Source organism: Homo sapiens, chromosome 22 (genome assembly GCF_000001405.40).
Source record: "Homo sapiens chromosome 22, GRCh38.p14 Primary Assembly".
Taxonomy (NCBI): domain Eukaryota; kingdom Metazoa; phylum Chordata; class Mammalia; order Primates; family Hominidae; genus Homo; species Homo sapiens.
Genome location: NC_000022.11, coordinates 17,537,900 through 17,559,565, shown reverse-complemented (window position 1 = coordinate 17,559,565; position 21,666 = coordinate 17,537,900). Strand labels below are relative to the sequence as shown.

At 47.0% G+C, this 21,666-nt stretch overlaps 1 protein-coding gene across 13 annotated transcripts in view; it reads right to left on the bottom strand.

Annotated features, from left to right (window-relative positions):
- The window catches only part of CECR2 (CECR2 histone acetyl-lysine reader), a 198,203-nt gene continuing 177,951 nt past the window's right edge, over positions 1,415 to 21,666 (bottom strand). For 3 of the 13 annotated variants that reach the window (NM_001290047.2, XM_011546128.3, XM_024452234.2), the window contains 9 exons: positions 21,009 to 21,046; positions 20,835 to 20,926; positions 20,447 to 20,573; positions 18,766 to 19,154; positions 17,599 to 17,727; positions 16,563 to 17,409; positions 10,002 to 11,418; positions 7,424 to 7,535; positions 1,415 to 6,731 (listed from right to left, as the gene is read on the bottom strand). In NM_001290047.2, coding sequence (NP_001276976.1) covers positions 6,726 to 6,731; positions 7,424 to 7,535; positions 10,002 to 11,418; positions 16,563 to 17,409; positions 17,599 to 17,727; positions 18,766 to 19,154; positions 20,447 to 20,573; positions 20,835 to 20,926; positions 21,009 to 21,046 — 3,157 coding nt within the window. In that variant the 3' untranslated portion in view covers positions 1,415 to 6,725. Of the gene's footprint in view, positions 6,732 to 7,423; positions 7,536 to 10,001; positions 11,419 to 16,562; positions 17,410 to 17,598; positions 17,728 to 18,765; positions 19,155 to 20,050; positions 20,574 to 20,834; positions 20,927 to 21,008; positions 21,047 to 21,666 lie in introns of those variants that run through there. The other 10 variants (XM_011546132.3, XM_047441342.1, XM_047441344.1 and 7 more) reach the window with 6 other exon arrangements.

Below are 21,666 nucleotides of genomic sequence, written 5' to 3'. Positions count from 1 at the left end.
AACTTATGCTAGCCCACAGTTGAGCCTCCTTTTTTATTTTTATTTTTGAGACGGAGTCTTCCTGTCGCTCAGGCTGGAATGCAGTGGCGCGATCTTGGCTCACTGCAACCTCCGCATCCCAGCTTCCAGCGATTGTCCTGCCTCAGCCTCCCAAGTAGCCAGGATTACAGGCACCCGCCACCACGCCCCGCTAATTTTTGTGTTTTTAGTAGAGGCAGGCTTTTGCCATGTTGGCCAGGCTGGTCTCGAACTCCTGAGCTCATATGATCTACTTGCCTTGGCCTCCCAGAGTGCTGGGATTACAGGTGTGAGCCAGCACACCTGGCTGAGCCTCCTTTATCACACAGTGTTGAATATGTCATGGAGTTTATTGAATACCGTACAGAAGGTGAAAGAGAATTGTTGCACGAGGACTTCAAGTACAGTTTCTGCAGAATGTGTCTCATTTTCAAAAACTCCTAAGTTGAATGATCATTAAACTGGGACAGTCTGCATTTAAGGACAAAACAGGAGTTCTGGTGTCTTAAGACTGTAGCTGATTTCTAAGAATGTAGCTACTTTCTTTTTTTGGGACACAGTCTCACTCTGTCACCCAGGCTGGAATGCAGTGGTGCGATCTCGGCTCACTGCAAGCTCCGCCTCCCGGGTTCACGCCATTCTCCCGCCTCAGCCTCCCGAGTAGCTGGGGCTACAGGTGTGTGCCGCCACGCGCGGCTAATTTTTTGTATTTTTAGTAGAGACGGGGTTTCACCGTGTTAGCCAGGATGGTCTCGATCTCCTGACCTCGTGATCCGCCCGCCTCAGCCTCCCAAAGTGCTGGGATTACAGACGTGAACCACCGCGCCTGGCTGAATGAAGCTACTTTCAAACTGTTCTCCCAGTAACTGGAAATAAAACATAAATGACCTTGGCAGGTATAAGATTGCCCGCTTGCTTAGGCTGGAGCTCCCACTTCTGGCCATGTGTGTGCACAGCGGGCTCCAGGCTGGAGCTGCCCCGCTGCCCCACTGTTATACTCCTTTCCCATCCCAGGCACCCTAAAGCCTGCAAGGAGAGAAGTCGTGCACCTCAGGTGTAGTAACCTTCTGAAGGCGGACGCCTTTACCAGTGAGATGCTGACGGCCGGGCCAGCTTCGCAAGGATCGGCTGTGAGGAGCGTTTTATCCCTGACATGGTTTAGAACTGCCAGTCAGTACATGACTGTTTTGAAGTTCTCTGGAACCATATTCCTCTGTCTCATGCACAGGACCCGTGCCCCGCCTCCGTGGATTCTGGATGCATGAGAATGGACGAGGGGTGGCATTTCAGCTGGTGGCCTTGTGGCCTAGTTCACGCCTTCGTCCTGATGGAAGTCTGGGTTTGCCCTGATATGGAAATGACACATGGACAGACACACCACACACACAGAGGAGCCTTGCTATTTTAAGCATGTACTTTATACAAAATAACCAGTTCATATGGAAATAAATCTACAGACCTCCAAGGATCAAAAAGCTTTTTAAAAAGTTCTTTTAAAAAATTATCCAACACACAATATTGAACTAACTATTGAGGTAAGTGTCGCTCTCAGTGAAACAGGGAATCAGCAGACCACGACAAAATATACACAATATAAAAATAAATAGCATTCCCCTTTCCAGTACTGGCCAGAAGGTTCACATGGTTTCTGCTTTTGCAGCAGGAGCAGAGGCTCCAGACACTGTGTGCCAAGGCTGCTGGGGACTGACCGGGGCCCCAGGAGCTACGCACAAGGCAGGAGAGTGAGGTACCTGAGCCCTGGCTAGGGAAGGGAAAGGAAGGGAAGGGAAGGGAAGGGAAGGGGCTGCATGGTTTCCTGAACGGGGGTCAGCATTTCAATAACTTATGCAATATCCATACCCCTGCTCCCACCCCACCCACCCCTGTCAACAACACAAGCAAGGACAATCAACTGCTCGTCAGCCGTTCTGACGTTAGAGTTCAGTTAGTCCTCTTGTGCAGGACAAGAGGGAGAAACTAGGTAGGAAAAGGTCAAGCCGAGCCCGGAACAGTCCCTCCGCACATCTGTCTAGCACAGAGCAGGATCAACATCCAGCCTGGAGGCAAAACTTGTGTCCCAGCTTAATTTAAAAAATGAAGGTCCGGTGTGTTGGCTCACGCCTGTAATCCCAGCATGTTGGGAGGCCAAGGCGGGTGGATCACCTGAGGTCAGGAGTTTGAGACCAGCCTGGCCAACATGGTGAAACCCCGCCTCTACTAAAAATACAAAAATTAGCTGGGAGTGGTGGTGCGCGCTTGTAGTCCCAGCTACTTGGGAGGCCGAGGCAGACGAATCCCTTGAACCTGGGAGGTGGAGGTTGCAGTGAGCCGAGATCGTGCCATTGCACTCCAGTCTGGGGGACAAGAGCAAGATTTCGTCTCAAAAAAAAAAAAAAAAAAAAGAAAAGAAAAAAAACGGGATGCAGTAACATTCACCCAAACACTACTGTCCCAAGGGGAAAGTGCGTGAGGCTTGGTGTCCTATGGCTGCACGGCAGAGTCCAACCCAAAAAAGAAATAGGGAGCCCAGCTTTTTCTCACGCAGCAAATGGCAATCACATTCTTTGTGCTATGCAGTGATGTGAGTCCACGAATAAAAGCCTCTGCATTCTCAACCGAAATAAGAAGTATCCTTACTGAAGCTAGTGTCCGGAGAGTCACTGGTGGACACACCACACCCCAGGAGCCCCCGGATTGGGCAGTACATGGCTCACTAATATATGGGACTGATTTTCTGCAATGCGGGTCCATGGAGAATCACAGAGGGTGAACTGACTGACAGACAAAGAAGGGCAACAATGCTAGAAAACCTTCAGCCTTTCCTTTCTATGAAAACCAAGGTTCTCTGCAAGCAGGTTGGGGTTCTTACACTACTCAACTGTCCTTACCTTGTGACTATAGGATTAGGCCTTCCTGTGAAATTTCAAATCAGGTCTTAAGAGCAGTGTAGTATTTACAGATTTGAATGTCCATTAAAAAAAAAAATTGAACCAAGAAGTATGGATTGCAAACTTGTTTCTGACAGCTGTGGTGACTGCAACACTGGGATTTTGTGGGCCTGGGATGGCATCTGCCAGCAGTAGGAATCAGCAAAAATAATATAGTAACTATACAGCAGATAAATGGCATGGGATAATGACACCAAATGCTTAGTCACAAGAAACACTTTCAGGGAACAAGACAGAGTAAATCGACATTTAAAGCTGAGGTCTGACTGAACTGAGGGGCACAAACTGCAGGTCTTAAGGTTTTCACTAAGCCTAACGAAGAGGAGCATGAGAAGGCCTTCTGAGAGCATCTGGCCCGGGCTCAGTGAGAAGATACGAACTGTTGATGAGCAGCTCGTGTGTACGGCCAGGTAAACTAAACCAACCTGATGAAGGCTGGTGATGAAGGAGAGGCGGAGAGGTGGGATGGAAAGTTACGTCAACAAGAATCCTACAGGGTTTGTTCTTATTTATTCTCCACATTCATTCACTGTAACAAATTTCAGCCAATAGCTCCTGCTACCTTTTAACTGAGGGGAAAAAGTAGCTGAATTAAAAACTATTTTTTAATTCTGAGGGGAAAACAAACCCAGAATCCTCCCAAGAAGCTCATCTTTTCTCTTGGGCCTTAGGGACACAAGTTTCTAACTTATTAACAACTCTACTAAAGGTGAGCCATGAGTGTTAAATCAAAGAGATGCAATGGTATTTCCCATTCTCCACGATCTCAGCTATCCCCATCCTCCTGGGGACCACTGAGAGCCGGCACGCTGACAAGGTGACAGTGACCCACAGGGTGAAATGTCCTTCTAGCTTGAGAGCAAACCTTTTCAGGATACCTTACACACTACTTCCTAAATATAACATATCACATAACCATCATTTTCCTAATGGAGAAGATGGCAAATGCATTTGCATCTGCTTTAAGACATTGCATCTGCTTAAGACACTTGGAAAGAGAAGTGCTAGAGGAGGAAGAAAAGGTGAGAAGAAGATCCTGCTTGGGGATGGGTGGGCTAGGGGTTCACAGCAGCTCACGCTCCTGTGGATTCCTGCAACCTTGCAGCTCCAGACAGCTTATAGCAGATCTGCACTTCAAAGACCAGTGAAAGCTCAGGACACTCCCTGGACAATGGACGAAGCACTAGTACCTATAAGGCATGGACACATTCCCACACAGGACGCAGGAAGGCTGACAATTCTGCTGCTGCTGATGTTCTTGTTCACAGTGTTATAATACAGTAGTTCTATTTCCTATTGCTCTTCCTTAATATTTTCTGTCGAAAACCAAGAAGGGAGATTAAGGATAAAGGGATTTACTGACTTTTCCTGTATCGTTCACAGCATCGCTCTAGCAACAGCTGATTGGGGCGGTCACTGGGAGAGAGAGGAGACAGGATTACCTGGAAGAGTGTGCACACAACTGCTCAAGGACCACGAGGGCAGAAGGAAAGGGGGCAATGGCCCAACTGCTGCTTACAGCCACTCCCACCCAGGCCCCTGGGGTAGTCATGGGGAGAGGCCCACAGTGTCAGTGCTCCTGTTAAGGAGAAGTGAGAGGCCTCTGATTCAAACCAGCATTACCAGGAAAAGAGAAAGGCTGTCAGTGGCCAAATTCTCTGGGCCTAGACCAGGTCTAACCAGCTCCAAACTAGCTTTTTACCTCCTCCCTGCTTCTGCACAAACACAGAAACTGAAGTAGTAATGCCCCATGTTAGCGGATACTAGCTAAAGGGCAGACCCATCCACAATCCTTCTGTCCTCTTCACTCTTCTAAACCAGGTTATGCCAGTGATAGGTTTCTAACAAGAATTAGGATCCAGTGAGAACACAGGCTCAAAACTCAATCCACTTGCAAATACATCAAATTTAAAATTAAAACCTCTCTGAGAGAAAATCTGTATTTTTGTGCATTATACCTTAGAGGCACCTGTGTTCCCTACTCAACTCTCAAATCTGCCTGAGCCCTAGGCAGCAGCACCAGGTTCAGCATTTGCGTACGGATATGAACTTCCATCATCCTGGAACTGGTGTCTTGGCTTTCATTTCTCTGTATCATGGATGCTTCCGATTAGCTTCCTTTTCCACGGACAGCATATGTTTAGCAAACTGTAAACACGACAGTTCCATGCTTCACTAGGAATCCTGGAATTGGAGGGAAACACTCTACTGGCCCCTCCCACAGCTGAATTTATAAGAAACTAGGGCAGATTAATATTTCATAGAGACTCTTCTACTATCCCAAAAGCATGCTTAAAAATATGCTATTCTTTACAAAGACCTGTAATTTCAGTATTTTCCTTAGTTTTTTCTTTTGTGGAATATTCAAAAGTTTAAAACATGGGTCCTAACTTTGGTGACCTTTCAGCTAAAATCAAATACAGAATGCTAACGAGGGAGAATCCAGTGTAATTCAACTCTACAACTGTAATAAAGTAATTTAATACTGTAAAATGGTTTCCTATCACAGATACAACAGATAATTCCAAGAACTTGTTCTTGATAGCTATTTTAAATCACCATGACTGATTTTACTATGATTCACTTAAAACGAATAAAAACTATATATACTGAAATATTCCTAAATTCAAACTGTAAATCTATAGAATACATTTTTCCTATTCAAACCTGTGCAATTCTTTATTGATACTAAAATATACAAACCTGAGTAGTCACTTCCACAAAATGTGATTCGTGCCAGAAAGCTGTGTGTGATGCCTTCTAGATCACAGTCCTGACAGGGAGGTCTGTGATGAGGACGATTCATCTTCTAATACGTGAAACACTCTAGCGATCCCAATTCCTGATACTGGTTTACAACTATTCGGTAGGGCTGGTGGCAAAATCAGGAAGGGACACCACTTTCTCAATTTGGGCCACCAGCATGAGAGAGCAGCCTGTCTTCCGGGCTGAAGCTTCTAGTAGTCTCCTGAGAGCAGTCTGCCTCCAATGGAGACACCAGGTGCTTAGGGGACAGGTGTTCTCTCTCAGGCTGACTGGAAGGAAGGAAGGCCTTTAGCTATTCTGAAGGCTGGCTGGCCACTAAGGAAACACAGTGACATATTACAAGATCAAACCTTTCCTACCCTCATCTCCGGCTCCCATAAGTATTCAGTGTGACATGATTGTAAACAGATAAAAATCACTCCAGTGCTGTGTGCCCACCAGTTAGGACCCCCATTTCTTCCGCATCCCCACCCACCCTTCCCACTTTATGTACAATACATTCACCACCAACAAAAATTATTTTAAAAGGCAACATGAAAATTCTGTAAACTGGACCCAGCTCCAAAACCATTAATACTAAGAGTAGTCCCTTCCCCAAATATATACCTGAGTTTAGCTGCTCATCAAAGTTTAAAAGCACCACTCCATTCTTGAGTATACCCCCTCCCCCAAGTTTAAAGTGATTTTCCCTGAAAAGTGTCTCAGGATTTGGAAAAGTCATCATTAACTCCACGTTCATTAGTTTTGCCTGACTGTCTACATCAGCTGTGCAAGAGATCCCTGGCCGAGGACCTTTGCAATCTGTGTGTCAGTCATCTAAGGAGTGTCCTTTTAGGGCCCGTGACTGGCTCCAGCTCAAGTATGGCACGAGTGGGTCGCCGTGAAGGGGTGGAGCAGGTGATGGGAATAGAGCTGACAGGGCACTCCCCAGTTCTCCACATTCCAGTCTTCGTGTGCAGCTTTCCATTGCTTGGGGCTCATTTCCTCCTTGGACTAGCTCTGAAAGAAACAAAGACATTTTAAACAAAAATAAAAATTGGGTTGTTAAAAAAAAAAAAACTTAAGTAAGCCAAAGAATGTCCAAGCTCCTCATGTGTGAAAATGGCTTGATTCTGTTTCATCAGTTACAGTTTACTTCCAGAGGGTAGGTTCTAGAGTCCTGGACTTCTCAATTCAGATCCCAGTCCCAGTGCTTAACAGTAGTAGGACTTGCACACTGGGAAATGATGATGATGCAGCCAATGAGAACTACTTTGTGGGGGTCAAGGGAAAGACTGCATGGGAGAGAAGCACTGCACGAGACAACGCATGGGAGAGAAGCAGCACTCAGAGGCAGCTATTACTACTTTAAAACCCACCAACTAGTCTCTCTCCAATGAGAAAGGTGGGAAGCATAAAACAGACAAGGGATCATGGCAGAAAAAATGTTTGCAGATGGCTTGGAAAAAATGAGGTTTAAATACTCACCAAATAGGTATGCATTCCATATCACAATAAGAAAAAGAGACATGTGAGAGGTGACTTCCGAGGCCTCTTGCTCTTTTTCCAAGTGCCAAGGAAGCACGATACAGGCAAAGTTCCTGTATCCACAGGATACCTTAAAACATTTTTTCAGAACAGCAAGGTTGTCATATACTTACTTCCTACCACCTGGAGGAAGAAGAACAGCTCTAATTTTTAGTGATCCTTACCTGATCCAGGGGAAGTGTTGGAGGCTTATGAGGCGGCACCTCCTCCTGTGATGTTGCTGCTGTGGGGGTCTTTGGGAACGAGGCCTGCGACTGGACCGGGTGCATCTGCATTCTACAGCCACGAGAAAGAAGCAATGAAGAATTAATGAAGACGTGTTAACGACAGAAGAAACAAGACACTGTAGTCACGAGGGTACTGCCTTCATCACCCCGGTGATCAGGCCTGGAATCATCCATACTGGGACAACTCGACATTCTGTGCCCCCTGGGGCAGTAAGTGGCACGCACACGCACCACCTACTGCACTCCTGACAAAAGTGTTTAATCTATTTTTTTTTTTCTTTTAGAGACAGGGTCTTGCTCTGTCACCCTGTTAGAATGTAGTGGCAGGATCATGGTTTACTGCAGCCTCAATCTTCTGGGCTCAAGTGCTCCTCCTGCCTCACCCTCCTGAGTAGTGTGTGCTACCATGCCTGGCTAAGTTCTTTATTTTCACTAGAGACAGGATCTCACTATGTTGCCGAGGCTGGTCTCGAACTCCTGAGCTTAAGCAATCCTCCTGCCTCAGCCCCCGAAAGTGCTGGGATTATAGGTATGAACCACTGCACCTGGCACAAGAGTTTCATCTACACACAAGGAGACTGTGTGATGAATCTGGAATCTGGAACACTCTCCATGATAACTGGCCTGGACTCTTTGGAAAACAAAACAAAGATATGACAACTGCTATAAATTAAGAGACTAAACAGACACGGCAGCCAAATGCAAATCCATGAGCCTTCATTGGATCCTTTATCAGAAAAAAACAATAAAAATAGAACACAAAGAAACGACTCTAAAAGACACTCTGGGGACAACTGAGGAAACAGAAACAAAAACTCTATTAGATACTGTTATTTGCCTTGAGTGTGGTAATCGTTTTGAAATGGTGCTCCAAGGCATGTCCATTCTTAGGAGATGCATGCTCAAGTATTGAGGGGTTAAGGGCCATGATGTCTACAATTTACTTTCCAACAGCTTAGGAAAAAAAGCAAAGCAAAGAAAACAGGTATTTAGAGACATATAAAGCAAACACGACAAAATGTTAAATAGTAGAGAGGGTCTAGCAATAAGATGACAGGATGGCACTGAGGAGGGGAACACTGGTTTTTATGCTGAATGGTACTGGTTTCAAGACTATGCTTCATAACTTTTTTTTTTTGAGACAGAGTCTTGCTCTGTTGCCCAGGCTGGAGTGCAGTGGCATGATCTTGGCTCACTGCAAGCTCCGCCTCCCAGGTTCACGCCATTCTCCTGCCTCAGCCTCCCGAGTAGCTGGGACTACAGGTGCCCACCACCACGCCCGGCTAATTTTTTGTATTTTTAGTAGAGACGGGGTTTCACCGTGTTAGCCAGGATGGTCTCAATCTCCTGACCTCGTGATCTGCCCGCCTCGGCCTCCCGAAGTGCTGGGATTACAGGTGTGAGCCACCGCGCCTGGCCGCTTCATAACTTTCATTTGTATCTATCGATTTGAAAACTTCCTGGATGGCAGATCACCTAACTGGATCTGGAGAACAACACTACACAAGCATGTGTGAAAGAAGTCTCATGGGGACTTGTTTGCATTCTGGATAAACCTGGTTTTCTCATTCAATGATAGGGTAAGAAATGAGAGGTATGTAGTAAAACTTCAATACTACATGATCTCCTCTTCTACTCCTGGGTAGGCCTATTTTTTTTTTTTTTTTTACCTTGGTCAGAGTGTCTCCACATGGCAGCAATGTTGACACAGGCTTGCTTACAGCTCTCAAACTGTGGTTATTAAGTTTATAGTATCATACAAAACTCAGCCAGGTGTGGTGGCGGGCACCTGTAATCCCAGCTACTTGGGAGGATGAGGCAGGAGAATCGCTTGAACCTGGGAGGCAGAGATTGCAGTGAGCAGAGATCGTACCACTGCACTCCACCCTGGGCCACAGAGTGAGACTTAATCTCAAAAATAAATAAATAAATAAATAAATAAATAAAGTTTACAATATCAAAATCTAAGTCAGTCATTTAAATGCCAGTTCATTTTCATGAGTGGAAAAAATTTCAAAGATAAAGTTGGGCTCTAAGTTTAATACCTTCCTACAGAGTGTACAACATCAATAATTCACATATTTTTTTTGTTCCTAGACCATGAACTGTTATCTTCATCTCTAAGGCCATTTTTCTGTTTAAAATGAACATCCAGGCCAGGTGTGCTGGCTCATGCCTGTAATCTCAGCACTTTGACAGGCTGAGGCAGGAGGATGACTTGCGCTCAGGAGACTAGGACCAGCCTGGGCAACACGGTGAAACCCTACCTCCACCAAAAAAAAAAAAAAAAAAAAACCAAAAAGTTAGCTGGGTGTGGTGGCATGTGTGTAGTCCCAGTTACTTAAACAGCTGATGCAGGAGGATCCTTGAGCCTGGGAGGTCGATGCCGCCGTGAGCCATGATCACACCACTGCACTCCAGCCTGGGTGACAAAGTGAGACTCTGTCTCAAAAATAAATACATAAAATAAACATCTGTTCTCTCTTTAGGGGGAAAAGCCTGAATGCAATCTTACCCTGATGGTCTGTACATTTCCTGGAAAGGTCCTCTTATTCCACTTCTAGTGCCAATTTGTTCCATCATCACAGCTTGAAAGTGACCCAGGCCTTCTTCCTGGCAGCGATAGATGGGACCCTCCTGAGAGAGGCCGTTGGGCTGGGTGGCCCCTGGGTGGTGAGGTGGGAGGGCAGCCACAGGGGAAGAGTAAGCCCTGGGCTGAAAGTGACTGGCCGGCCGCTGAGGGGTATAGGGAGGCCCCGTCTGCAGCATCACACTGTGGGGTGGAAATGCAGATGAACCAAATCCCATTCCTGAACTCAGAGGCGGAGGAGTTCCATAGAGATACTCGCTGGCTGACAACGAGCTCTGCCGCTTGGTAGCTGCGTTATGGTTGTCCAGGTCTAAAAATTCTTTGGGACTCTCTGGCCTCTCCATAGATTCATCCAGCTTCTCTTCCTCTGGACCAGGATTCTGCCCGTCATTTGGGACTTTAGCAGCCACTGCATCCATACGGGTTGGAGAAGTTAAGGCAGCATTCAGTGTCTCACAGCCTTGCAGACTGGCCATGGCATTCTTATCTGAGAAGAGGGACCTTGGTGGGGGAGGCTGACTGGCTGGGGGTCCGCTTGGGCTTCCCTGGGGATGGAGAGGTCTCTGCCAGTCAGAAAAGCTCTGTGGACAGGCATAGTAAGGAGTTCGCTGATAGTGGTGGTAGGAAGGCTGTGGCGGTGGGTGGTAGGAATACCTCATTCCTTGTGGGGGGCGATACCGGGGAAAGCCTCCAGAATGTGGGTGGTTAGACTGAAAGCCCCTTGGGGGAAAATGCTGGGGATGGGATGCTGGGGACTTCCCTCCCATCACAGGGCCCACACCCTGCAGGCCTGGACTGATGTGGTAATGGGCAGCTGAATTCGGGTACTCTAGGCCAGGCATATACAGCGGGGGAAACTGGCTCACAGTGCCTCCCGTCAAACCGGGGTCTGTGCTGGGCGGTGTCGCTGCGTTCTGTCCCGTGCATGGCATGGTTTCCTGCAACGTTCTGCCTCTGGGGCAGAGCAGCTTTTCGGAACCACTGCTACCAAGGCCCTTCCCCTCCGATCCACAAGGAGATGCTTCCCCAATGACTCCGTTCTCGGATAGAGCGCCCCTGTCTGCCACCGTGGAGAGGTCTCTCACGCACCCTTGGGCGGCTGGGCCGGGGTAGCTGCTATCCGAGGGCCAGGGATTCTTGCCCTTCATTGCTTTACAGTTGTCCGCAGATTCGGAGGAGCTGCTTTTGAGCTCCGGGCCCACTGTTTCCCTTTCTTGTGGTGAGCTCTGCCTGGTGCAGTCAGTCTGCAGGGGAGGTGTGGGGTGAGGTAGTTGTGTGAGGTAGACCCCCTCTGAAGTACCAACACCTGGTGGTTTCTCTTCAAGGCCAGGCAACGGCTCTGCTGCAAAAAAAAAAAAAAAGAGGAGAAAAAATAACTCAGTAGCTGAAATGACAGTATTAATGTGAAGAACATGCCTGAGTCAGATTAAGGTGGATGTGTGGTGATTCAAGCCCCACCTGGAAATTGTTTGAGTCCCTGAAAGAGGGCAGGACATTGGGGTCCCTGTACACTTCCTTTCACCCCTTTCACGGACACAAAGGTAAAACCTAGCACCTCTACATTCACTCTTACAGTGGGCCGGAGAATGGAAATGTCCTTAACCGTGGGTTGCCCGATTCGTAAGAGGCTGAGAGACGGCTTGTGGCTCACGGACTCTAGGCAGATGCACGTGAAACACACTGGGAGGGGATGGTTGTCATCAGAATCACTGGCCATGCTGGGAAGCTCTAAAATGGGATGCAACCAGAAAGAACAGGGCATGACGGGCGCTCAGGAAGGCCAAATGCCTGGTTTCTGCTCCACGAGAATAAAAGCTCCACAGGAGGGACTTCTCCGTCTCACTGTCCTCTCAGTTCATGCACACAGACTCAATCACTTTGTTGAATGAATACATTCATTTTGTCTGCATGTCTTGAAGACAAGACGCCTACAACATGAAACTCAAAAGGCATCTTTAGGGGCCGGGCACGGTGGCTCACGCCTGTAATCCCAGCATTTTGGGAGGCCGAGGCGGGCAGATCACGAGGTCAGGAGATTGAGACCATCCTGGCTAACACGGTGAAACCCCGTCTCTACTAAAAAATATAAAAAATTAGCTGGGTGTGGTGGCCGGCACCTGCAGTCCCAGCTATTCGGGAGGCTGAGGCAGGAGAATGGCGTGAACCCAGGAGGCGGAGATTGTAGTGAGCCAAGATTGTGCCACTGTACTCCAGCCTGGGCGACAGAGTGAGACTCCATCTCAAAAAAAAAAGAGGCATTTTTAACATATTATGGAAATTTACTAAGCCCAATCAAATTAATTAGACTCCTATGCTTGTTTACATTCTCAGAATTCTTTAACTTACTATTCGACCTAAAAATAAGGTCTTAACTAAGACTACAATATACAATAGTGTGTAAGTGTGTGTATATATCTATATAAAATAATCTTTTTTTTTTTTTTTTTTTTTGAGGCAGAGTCTCACTCTGATGCCCAGGCTGGAGTGCAGTGGCGTGATCTTGGCTCACTGCAACCTCCGCCTCCTGGGTTCAAGTGACTCTCATGACCCAGACTCCCAAGTGGCTGAACTTACAGGCCTGCACCACCATGCCCGGCTAATTTTTGTATTTTTAGTAGAGACAAGATTTCACCATGTTGGCCAGGCTGGTCTCAAACTCCCGACCTCAGGTGATCCACCCGCCTCAGCCTCCCAAAGTGCTGGGATTACAGGTGTGAGCCACCGCGCCCAGCCAAAATAATCTTTTTATTATCTTTCTAGGAGGACAGTTGTCCAGGTGTGATGAAATTACCATCCTGGTAACAGATCTGAAGCACAAGGTTAGAGATTCTTAACAACTTTTAAAGAGCTATTAACATAGCTCAGGCTACTTGAAGCTGGCCCTAAAGGTCAATGGTACAAATTACACAATGAAAGTGAAAAACCGTACTTTTCATTATTCAGCCAACATTAAACTTAGCAACTAGACTTAACTAAACAGGATTTTTTTTTTTTTTTTTTTTTTGAGACAGAGTCTCGCTCTGTCGCCCAGGTTGGAGTGCAGTGGCGCGATCTCGGCTCACTGCAAGCTCCGCCTCCCGGGTTCACGCCATTCTCCCACCTCAGCCTCCGGAGTAGCTGGGACTACAGGCGCCCGACACCATGCTGGCTAATTTTTTGTATTTTTAGTACAGATGGGGTTTCACCGTGTTAGCCAGGATGATCTCGATTTCCTGACCTCGTGATCCACCCGCCTCGGCCTCCCAAAGTGCTGGGATTACAGGCGTGAGCCATCGCGCCGGCCTAAACAGGATTCTTGTAAAGCTCTGAATTCCAGAACTCACTTGAAATCAATATTAGAAAATTCTGCTAGAGGTGGTGTTAACAAAGTAGGACTTTCCACAAAAGAAATACTAAAAGGTTTTTTTCCCCTAACCATTTTTTTTCTTTTTTTAAAAGAGTCGGAGTTTCAACTCTGTCGCCCAGGCTGGAGTGTAGTGGTGTGATTGTGTCTCACTGAAACCTCGAACTCCAGGGTTCAAGCAATCCTTCCACTTCAGACTCCCAAGTAGTTGCGATTACAGGTATGAGAAACACAAAAATTTAAATGAGTTCTAACCCTACCATCAATTTAATGTGGAATCTATTATCTTTTTTTTTTTTTTTTTGAGACGGAGTCTTGCTCTGTTGCCCAGGCTGGAGTGCAGTGATGTGATCTCGGCTCACTGCAACCTCAGCCTCCCGGGTTCAAGCGATTCTCCTGCCTCAGCCTCCCGAGGAGCTGGGATTACAGGCACCCACCACTGTTCCCGGCTGATTTTTGTATTTTTAGTAGAGACAGAGTTTCACCATGTTGGCCAGGCTAGTTTTGAACTCCTAACCTCATGATCCACCCACTGTGGCCTCCCAAAGTGCTGCAATTACAGATGTGAGCCACCGTGCTCAGCCAGGAATCTATTATCTTAAGTCCAAGTGTGTCCATTCTCCTGCCAGGTACTGAAGAAAATTACATGCATGCTAGATATTTATCCTAGAAATAAGCATTAATTGGAAAGTATTTTTTTTTCCATTTTCTCCCCTAGTTTAATGTTTATTCCTCTTAAACGGCATTTCTTTTTTTTTTTTTTTTTTTTTTTGAGACGGAGTCTCGCTGTTTCGCCCAGGCTGGAGTGCAGTGGCGTGATCTCGGCTCACTGCAAGCTCCGCCTCCCGGGTTCAAGTGATTCTCATGACCCAGCCTCCCAAGTAGCTGAACTTACAGGCCTCTACCATCACGTCCGGCTAATTTTTGTATTTTTAGTAGGGAAAAGATTTCACCATGTTGGCCAGGCTGGTCTCAAACTCCCAACCTCAGGTGATCCACCCGCGTCAGCCTCCCAAAGTGCTGGTATTACAGATGTGAGCCACTGCGCCTGGCCTAAATGGTATTTCTAAGAAACTGCTTCAAGATTTGCTAGATCTCACTATTGGCCATTCTTAATAAATCCAGGTATGTATCCAAGGAACAGAAATTCACTTGATAACTTTCAAGATGGTATTGAGACATGGTTTTGCTCTGTTGCCCAGGATGGAGTACAGTGGTGCAATCATAGCTCATTGTAGCCTTGACCTCCCTGGGTTCAGGTGATCCTCCCACCTCAGCCTCCCAAGTAGCTGGGACTATAGGCATGAACCTTTTTTTTTTTTTTTTTTTTTTTTTTTGAGACAGAGTCTCACTTTGTGGCCCAGGCTGGAGTGCAGTGGTGTAATCTTGGTTCACTGCAACCTCCGCCTCCCGGGTTCAAGTGATTCTCCCGCCTCAGCTCCCTGAGTAGCTGGGACTACAGGCACCTGCCACTATGCTTGGCTAATTTTTGTATTTTAAGTAGAATGGGGTTTTGCCATGTTGGGCAGGCTGGTCTTGAACTCCTGACCTCAGGTGATCTGCCTGCCTTGGCCTCCTAAAGTGCTGGAATTACAGGCATGAGCCACCACGCCTGGCTAATTTTTTAACTTTTTTTTTTTTTTTTTTTTGAGATGGAGTCTCGCTCTGTCGCCCAGGCCGGAGTGCAGTGGCACAATCTCGGCTCACTGCAACCTCTCCCTCCCAGGTTCACACCATTCTCCTGCCTCAGCCTCCGGAGTAGCTGGGACTACAGGCGCCTGCCACCACGCTCGGCTAATTTTTTGTATTTTTAGTAGAGATGGGGTTTCACCATGTTGGCCAGGATGGTCTCAATCTCCTGACCTTGTAATCTGCCTGCCTTGGCCTCCCAAAGTGCTGGGATTACAGGCGTCAGCCACCGCGCCTGGCCATTTTTTAATGTTTTAGTAGAGACAGTCTTACTCTCTTGCCCAGGCTGGTCTCGAACTCCTGGGCTCAACTGATCCATTGGCCTTGGCCTCCCAAAATTCTGGGACTGCAGGCATGAGCCACCAAAACTACTGCCCGGCTGACAGTACTTTTTTAGAGGAACTATGATGATGCAGTGGGTAAAGCACAGATGCTGGATCTAGTCTGTCTGGGCCCAAATCTCAGCTCTGCTACTTACTAGCTGGCTGAGAGCAAATAATCTAACATTTCCATGCCTTGGATTTTTCATCTGTAAAAACAAGGATAGTAACAGTAGCTATCTCGAAGGCTTGTTCTGAGAATAAATGAATTAATGTATAAAAGTCTCTGGAAGGCTCATGCCTGTAATCCTAGCACTTTGGGAGGCCAAGGCAGGCGATCACCTGAGGTCAGACGTTCAAGACCATCCTGGCCAACACGGTGAAACCTTGTCTGTACTAAAAATATAAAAATTAGCCGGGTGTGGTGGCATGCATCTGTAATCCCAGCTACTCAGGAGGCTGAGGCAGGAGAATTGCTTGAACCTGGGAGGCAGAAGTTGCAGTCAACCGAGATTGTGCCACTCCACTCCAGCCTGGGCAAGAGTGGGACTCTGTCTCAAAAAAAAAAAAAAGTCTCAGGAGGAGTGCCTGGCACAGCAAGCGCCCACCTGCGCAGAGTCAAAATTATGACCAGAAATGGGATCGACGGACCAAGAGAAGGACTGTGATTGGCCCAAATCTGAGAAGTTCAAGAAAGAGAAGCTGGGAAGGCCGGGCGCGGTGGGCCTGTAATCCCAGTACTTTGGGAGGCCGACGGGGGCAGGTCACAAGGTCACGAGATTGAGACCATCCTGGCTAACACGGTGAAACCCCGTTGCTACTAAAAATACCAAAAAAATTAGCCGGGCGTGGTGGCGGGTGCCTGTAGTCCCAGACACTCGGGAGGCTGAGGCCGAAGAATGGCATGAACCCGGGAGGTGGAACTTGCAGTGAGCCGAAATCACACCACTGCACTCCAGCCTGGGCGACAGAGCAAGACTCTGTCTCAAAAAAACAAAACAGAACAAAACAAAACCAAAAAATAAACAAAGAAAGAGAGGCTGGGAACCAGATTACACTTGGTTTGATATGCTGTGTAAAAAGATTACTCATGAAACAAGAGCTTAAAGAGCCCAAAGTGACAGTGTAAATTACCTTGGTCATTCTCAGGCTCTTGTGCTTCACTGTTCTCCGGTGCCCTCCCAGGGTTGCCCAGGGCAGGCTTGGGGGCTGACACAGTGACTGACATTGGGTGAGCTACCTGCGGAAAAGGGCCAGGTAAACGGGGGTGTGCAGGCTGGTGGGGGTGGTAAGGCACACCTGGGGGGCAGACGCGGGAGGAGAGCTGCTGCATCGCAATCATCTCTGGGCTGTCCATCATGGAGTCCCCTCCCTGCACCCCCCGAAGAGCCTGGGCAGGTGCTCCAAACAAAGAACTGGGTGCTGGCACTGGAGGTGGCTGTAACCGATGTCCGGCAGACTTGCAGGGCGGTCGCATGTACCCTGAGGAAGGAACTCCATGAGGTAGGAAGCCTGATTGTTCAGTCCACTGGTTGGGGGGGACAGGTGGTCTCATGACTCGGGAATCCATCACGTGACCGAGAGTGCGAGGCTGGTGAGAGGGTCCTGGCCCCAGGTGGGGCTTCTCATCTGGGCCCAAGGGTCCTTGGTTCGTAGCACCATGGTTCCCATTCCAGACGGCAGAGTGTACTCGATTCAGGTACTTGTACGATCGATACATATGGCTGGGAGGAATTTCTGAGCTTTCAGGAAAGTCTGGTGGCCGGGCTGGAGCCCCCCCATGCCGGGGAGGAATGAATCCTGGCTGGAACTGAGCTGGAGCATACATGCTTCCATCCTGACTTGGGCCACTTATCTGCCCAAGCTGCAAGGATCCAGGGTGTGGGCCCATGTTAGAAAGGTGTGTCAGCCCCCCGCACATTTGCTTCTCCTCTGGTGTGCCTAGCCTGGGTCCTCGGAGGCTGTTAATTCCAACTGGAGGCTGGCAACGAGAAAAGGCAGCACAGTTACAGACTCACAGAATAAGGCACACTTTGTGCCATGCTTCTCTATGGGAACAGACTCTTTGGGAAAGGACGCAATGAACAACATTTAACCTGGAAAGAGACTTTTTCTCTGAAACGTACCTGTGGGACCCCCTGCACCTGCACCTCCAGAGTAGGCTGCTTACCTGCATGGTGAAAGGCTGACGCTGCTGCACAGGCTCCCCGGGGTGTGGCTCCGGGACTCCAGAGGAGCCATACAAGGTGGCAGGATCTGATCCTCGCAGAGGGCCAAATGTTCCTGGTACTGCTGGCCTCTGCAGCACATTGAACAAAGCAAGAAGAGGAAAAAGGAAAGGCACAGACTTTAGGTTGACAACAAGGGTTTTCCTGAAGATGAACGTTCTACTAAAATAAAACAGACGACTAAACCTCGGCTGGAGACAGGGAGACTGTGAACACACGTGCTCACCCGCATCAGGGCTTGCCTATGAGCCTGAAGCAACTTCCCTCTCCAGGAGATACAAGATTAAATCAGTGTTTCTCAATCTCTTTTTTATTACTCCTCCTCCCAAGGATCCATTTTAGCCGTTTCTCCCCAGTTGCCTGCTACCATGAAATCTTATAATGTTGCAGATATACTGTACATTCATGTACTACATGTATACCTGTGCTTTATACAATAAAGATTACATTTTTTTTTCTTTTTTTGAGACGGAGTCTCACAGTGTTGCCCAGGCTAAGGTGCAGTGGCACGATCTCAGCTCACTGCAAACTCTGCCTCCTGGGTTCAAGCAATTCTTTTGCCTCAGCCTCCTGAGTAGCTGAGTAGCGCCACCACACCTGACTAATTTTTGTATTTTTAGTAGAGACAGGGTTTCACCATGTTAGCTAGGCTGGTCTTGAACTCCTGACCTCGTGATCGCCCACCTCAGCCTCCCAAAGTGCTGGGATTGCAAGAGTGGGCCACTGCGCCCAGCCAGATTACATATTTTTTAATCCCAATTTTTGCCCACATTGAGAATACCTAATTCAAGTGATTGAGAAAAAGGAGGATTTAGAATAAAGGAATGGCTAGACACAGTGGCTCATGCCTATAATCCCAGCACTTTGGGAGGCTGAGGCAGAAGGACTGTTTGAGGCCAAGAGTTTGAGACCAGCCTAGGCAACATAGCAACACTGTGTCTCTACTAAAAAGTAAACAAAATAAAATCACATGAACAAAGGACTCACAGGGAAAAAGATTCCATACATACACGTAAGTATTTTGCAGGAAGTACTAACTGAATGGCCTCTACATTACTATGAACTCACAAACTAGGAGAAACCGCAACAGTCTCCACTCTATTCCTTACCATCTGGTTTAAAAAGGGTGCCTGGCTGGGTGTCCCACCACAATGCAGGGGATGAGAAAAACCTCGGCCATTGGAAGTGCCCACCTCCCGCGGGGGCTGTGTGGAGCTGCTGCTCTGATCGTCCCCAGAAGAGGGCGCTCGGCGTGTGGGGGGCAACGACTTTCCTCCATTCTCCATGGGCTGCTGTTTCCTGCTGGACCCTTCTGGGTCCCTGGAGCGGGTCCAAACATGGCTCCCACCACTTCGCCCAGCCCGACTCCGTCTTTTCTCCCGCTTTTCATCCTCTCGAATCCAAAATTCTTCATCTGTGTCTCCATCTTCTCCAGGAAAATGTTTCATCATTGCCCGATGGAAACACCTCTCTAAATTATCAGACATCTTGGTATACTCTATAGGAAGACAGGAGGATTGACTTCTAGGTATAGTTTACAGAAATTGTTTATAGAAACTATAGTTTATAGAAACTATAGAAACAGAACTATAGGTCACAAAAGACAATTCTAATAAATAGAAGATGCAACCTGGGTAATCTATGAGTTTAATTCACCTTTAGGGCACATTATATTGTAGAGCTATGGATGCAAGATGAAGAAGACGTGGTTTCTATCTGTAAGATGCCCAAGGTTGTATGGTTGGGACAGGGCCTCTAGGACTATTAAGTCAAACCAGGCTGAGCACAGTAACTTATGCCTGTGATCCCAGCACTTTGGGAGGCCAAGGCAGGAGGATCACTTGAGCCCAGGAGTTCCAAGACTGGACTGGGCAAGAAAGTGAGACACCCGTCCCTACCAAAAAGAAAACATTAGCCAGGTATGGTCGCACATGCCGATAGTCCCAGCTACTTGGGACTGAGGGAGGAGGATCCCTTGAGCCCAAGAATTTGAGGTTGCAGTGAGCCATGTTTGCCCTACTGCACTCCTGCTTGGGTGACAGAGTGAAATCCTGCCTCGAGGTTAGTAAATAAAGAAAAAAAATGCCAGTAAAAATTTAATTCTTTAAGGCTAAACTGCAGAAATACTAAATAAAAAATGGCTGAATCTGCTGTTTTTAAGCAGGGCATTTTTAGTTAATGCATAAATGACCCAAAGTAGAAAGAGCCATTTCCTTTTTTTTATATATATAGATATATATTTTTATTATACTTTAAGTTCTAGGGTACATGTGCACAACGTGCAGGTTTGTTACATATGTATACATGTGCCATGCTGGTGTGCTGCACCCATTAACTCGTCATTTACATTAGGTATATGTATCTCCTAATGCTATCCCTCCCCTCTTCCCCCACCTCACAACAGGCCCCGGAGTGTGATGTTCAGAAAGAGCCATTTCTACTTTGATATTGCAGATCTACTACGCCAGCTTCCCCAGATGGTTGAAGAGTCAGCTCTATGTAGGGTCAGTCCCCTCGGTGGTTAAAGAGGCACACACAGTATAATCCAGACCCAGACTGGTCTCCAGGATGAGCCAGTTAGCTGCCAGCTGCACTCTATTGTCCTGTGGGGCAGGAGAGAATCCCTGGCAGACACTGTATAAGTGGCTGGAATGGTCAATCCCATGACTTTTCATACACATTCTGTTCACTGTCCTACAGAAAAGGCACTAGGATGTGTATTTGTAAAAGAGAAGGCATTTTATTCTTGATTACAGATATGTATCTAGCACAAACTCCTTCCCTGCTTACCACTACTTTCCCCATTATACTTTCGACAATTCCTGAACATGGTCTTCATGTCATTTACAAATTCCTCCTTGGTACAGTATAAACCTCCATTCAGTTTCTTCTCCATGCTGGAAATATCCATGGGGGCCTAAACGAGACACATAACTCTTTATAGTTAAAATATGCTGAGAGCAAACATTCCATAGAGAGAGAGAGACAGAGAGATAATGAGAATTCAGCAATGCTGATCTGTAATGAATAACAGATAAAACGAGAAACATCACATGAACTTTTGACAGTTGAAAAGAAAAACGTATCAAAATATATATATATTTAACAACAAACAAACAACAAAACCCAAGAAAGATATACACACTATAGTAGGCATTACTGCAAAGACAACTTCTACCTTAATAATCTGATAATAGTTAGGGGCATAAGATTCATCCACAGGTTCCAAGAAGGGCCAGGAATCCTTGTGAGCCTTTACCACGTCTAGAACTGAAAGCCAGAGAAGAGATCTTAACACACTCACAGAGGAAAACTTCTATCACAAACAGAACAGTGGAGAATGGGAACTAACCTTTATACATAGCAGTGAAATCATCATCCAACTCAAAGCTGTAAATCACAAAATAAGAAATTAATAGTAACTCTGACCACCTTCTCTCCTGAGCTCTCTCAGGTCTATCGCAGACACACCTGACTGAACTAAGATTTGGAATAGTCCTAATAGTGTGGTTTAGATGAGCCTGTGACACTGATAACACTCCCTGGAAATACAATGAGGGACAGTGGACCTTAGCAAAACTGGGAATGTCACTTTCCTCATCTATAAAATGTGGGGTTGGCCTGGATGATCCAGAACTTTATGGTTCTAGAATGTTAGTTATTTAATTGCACATTCTTTATTTACTTATTTTGAGACAGGATCTTGCTCTGTTGCCTAGGCTGGAGTGAAGTGGTGTGATCACAGCTCACTGCAGCCTCCATTTCCTGGGCTCCAGCAATCCTGTCACCTTAGCCTCCTGAATAGTTGGGACTACGGGTGTGTGCTACCATGCCTGGCGAGTTTTTGTATTTTGGGTAGAGGTGAGGTTTCACCATGTTGCCCAGGCTTTATAGCACAATCTTTTTTTTTTTTTTTTGGACGGAGTCTCACTCTGTCACCCAGGCTGGAGTGCAGTGGCACGATCTCAGCTCACTGCAACCCCCACCTCCTGAGTTCAAGTGATTCTCCT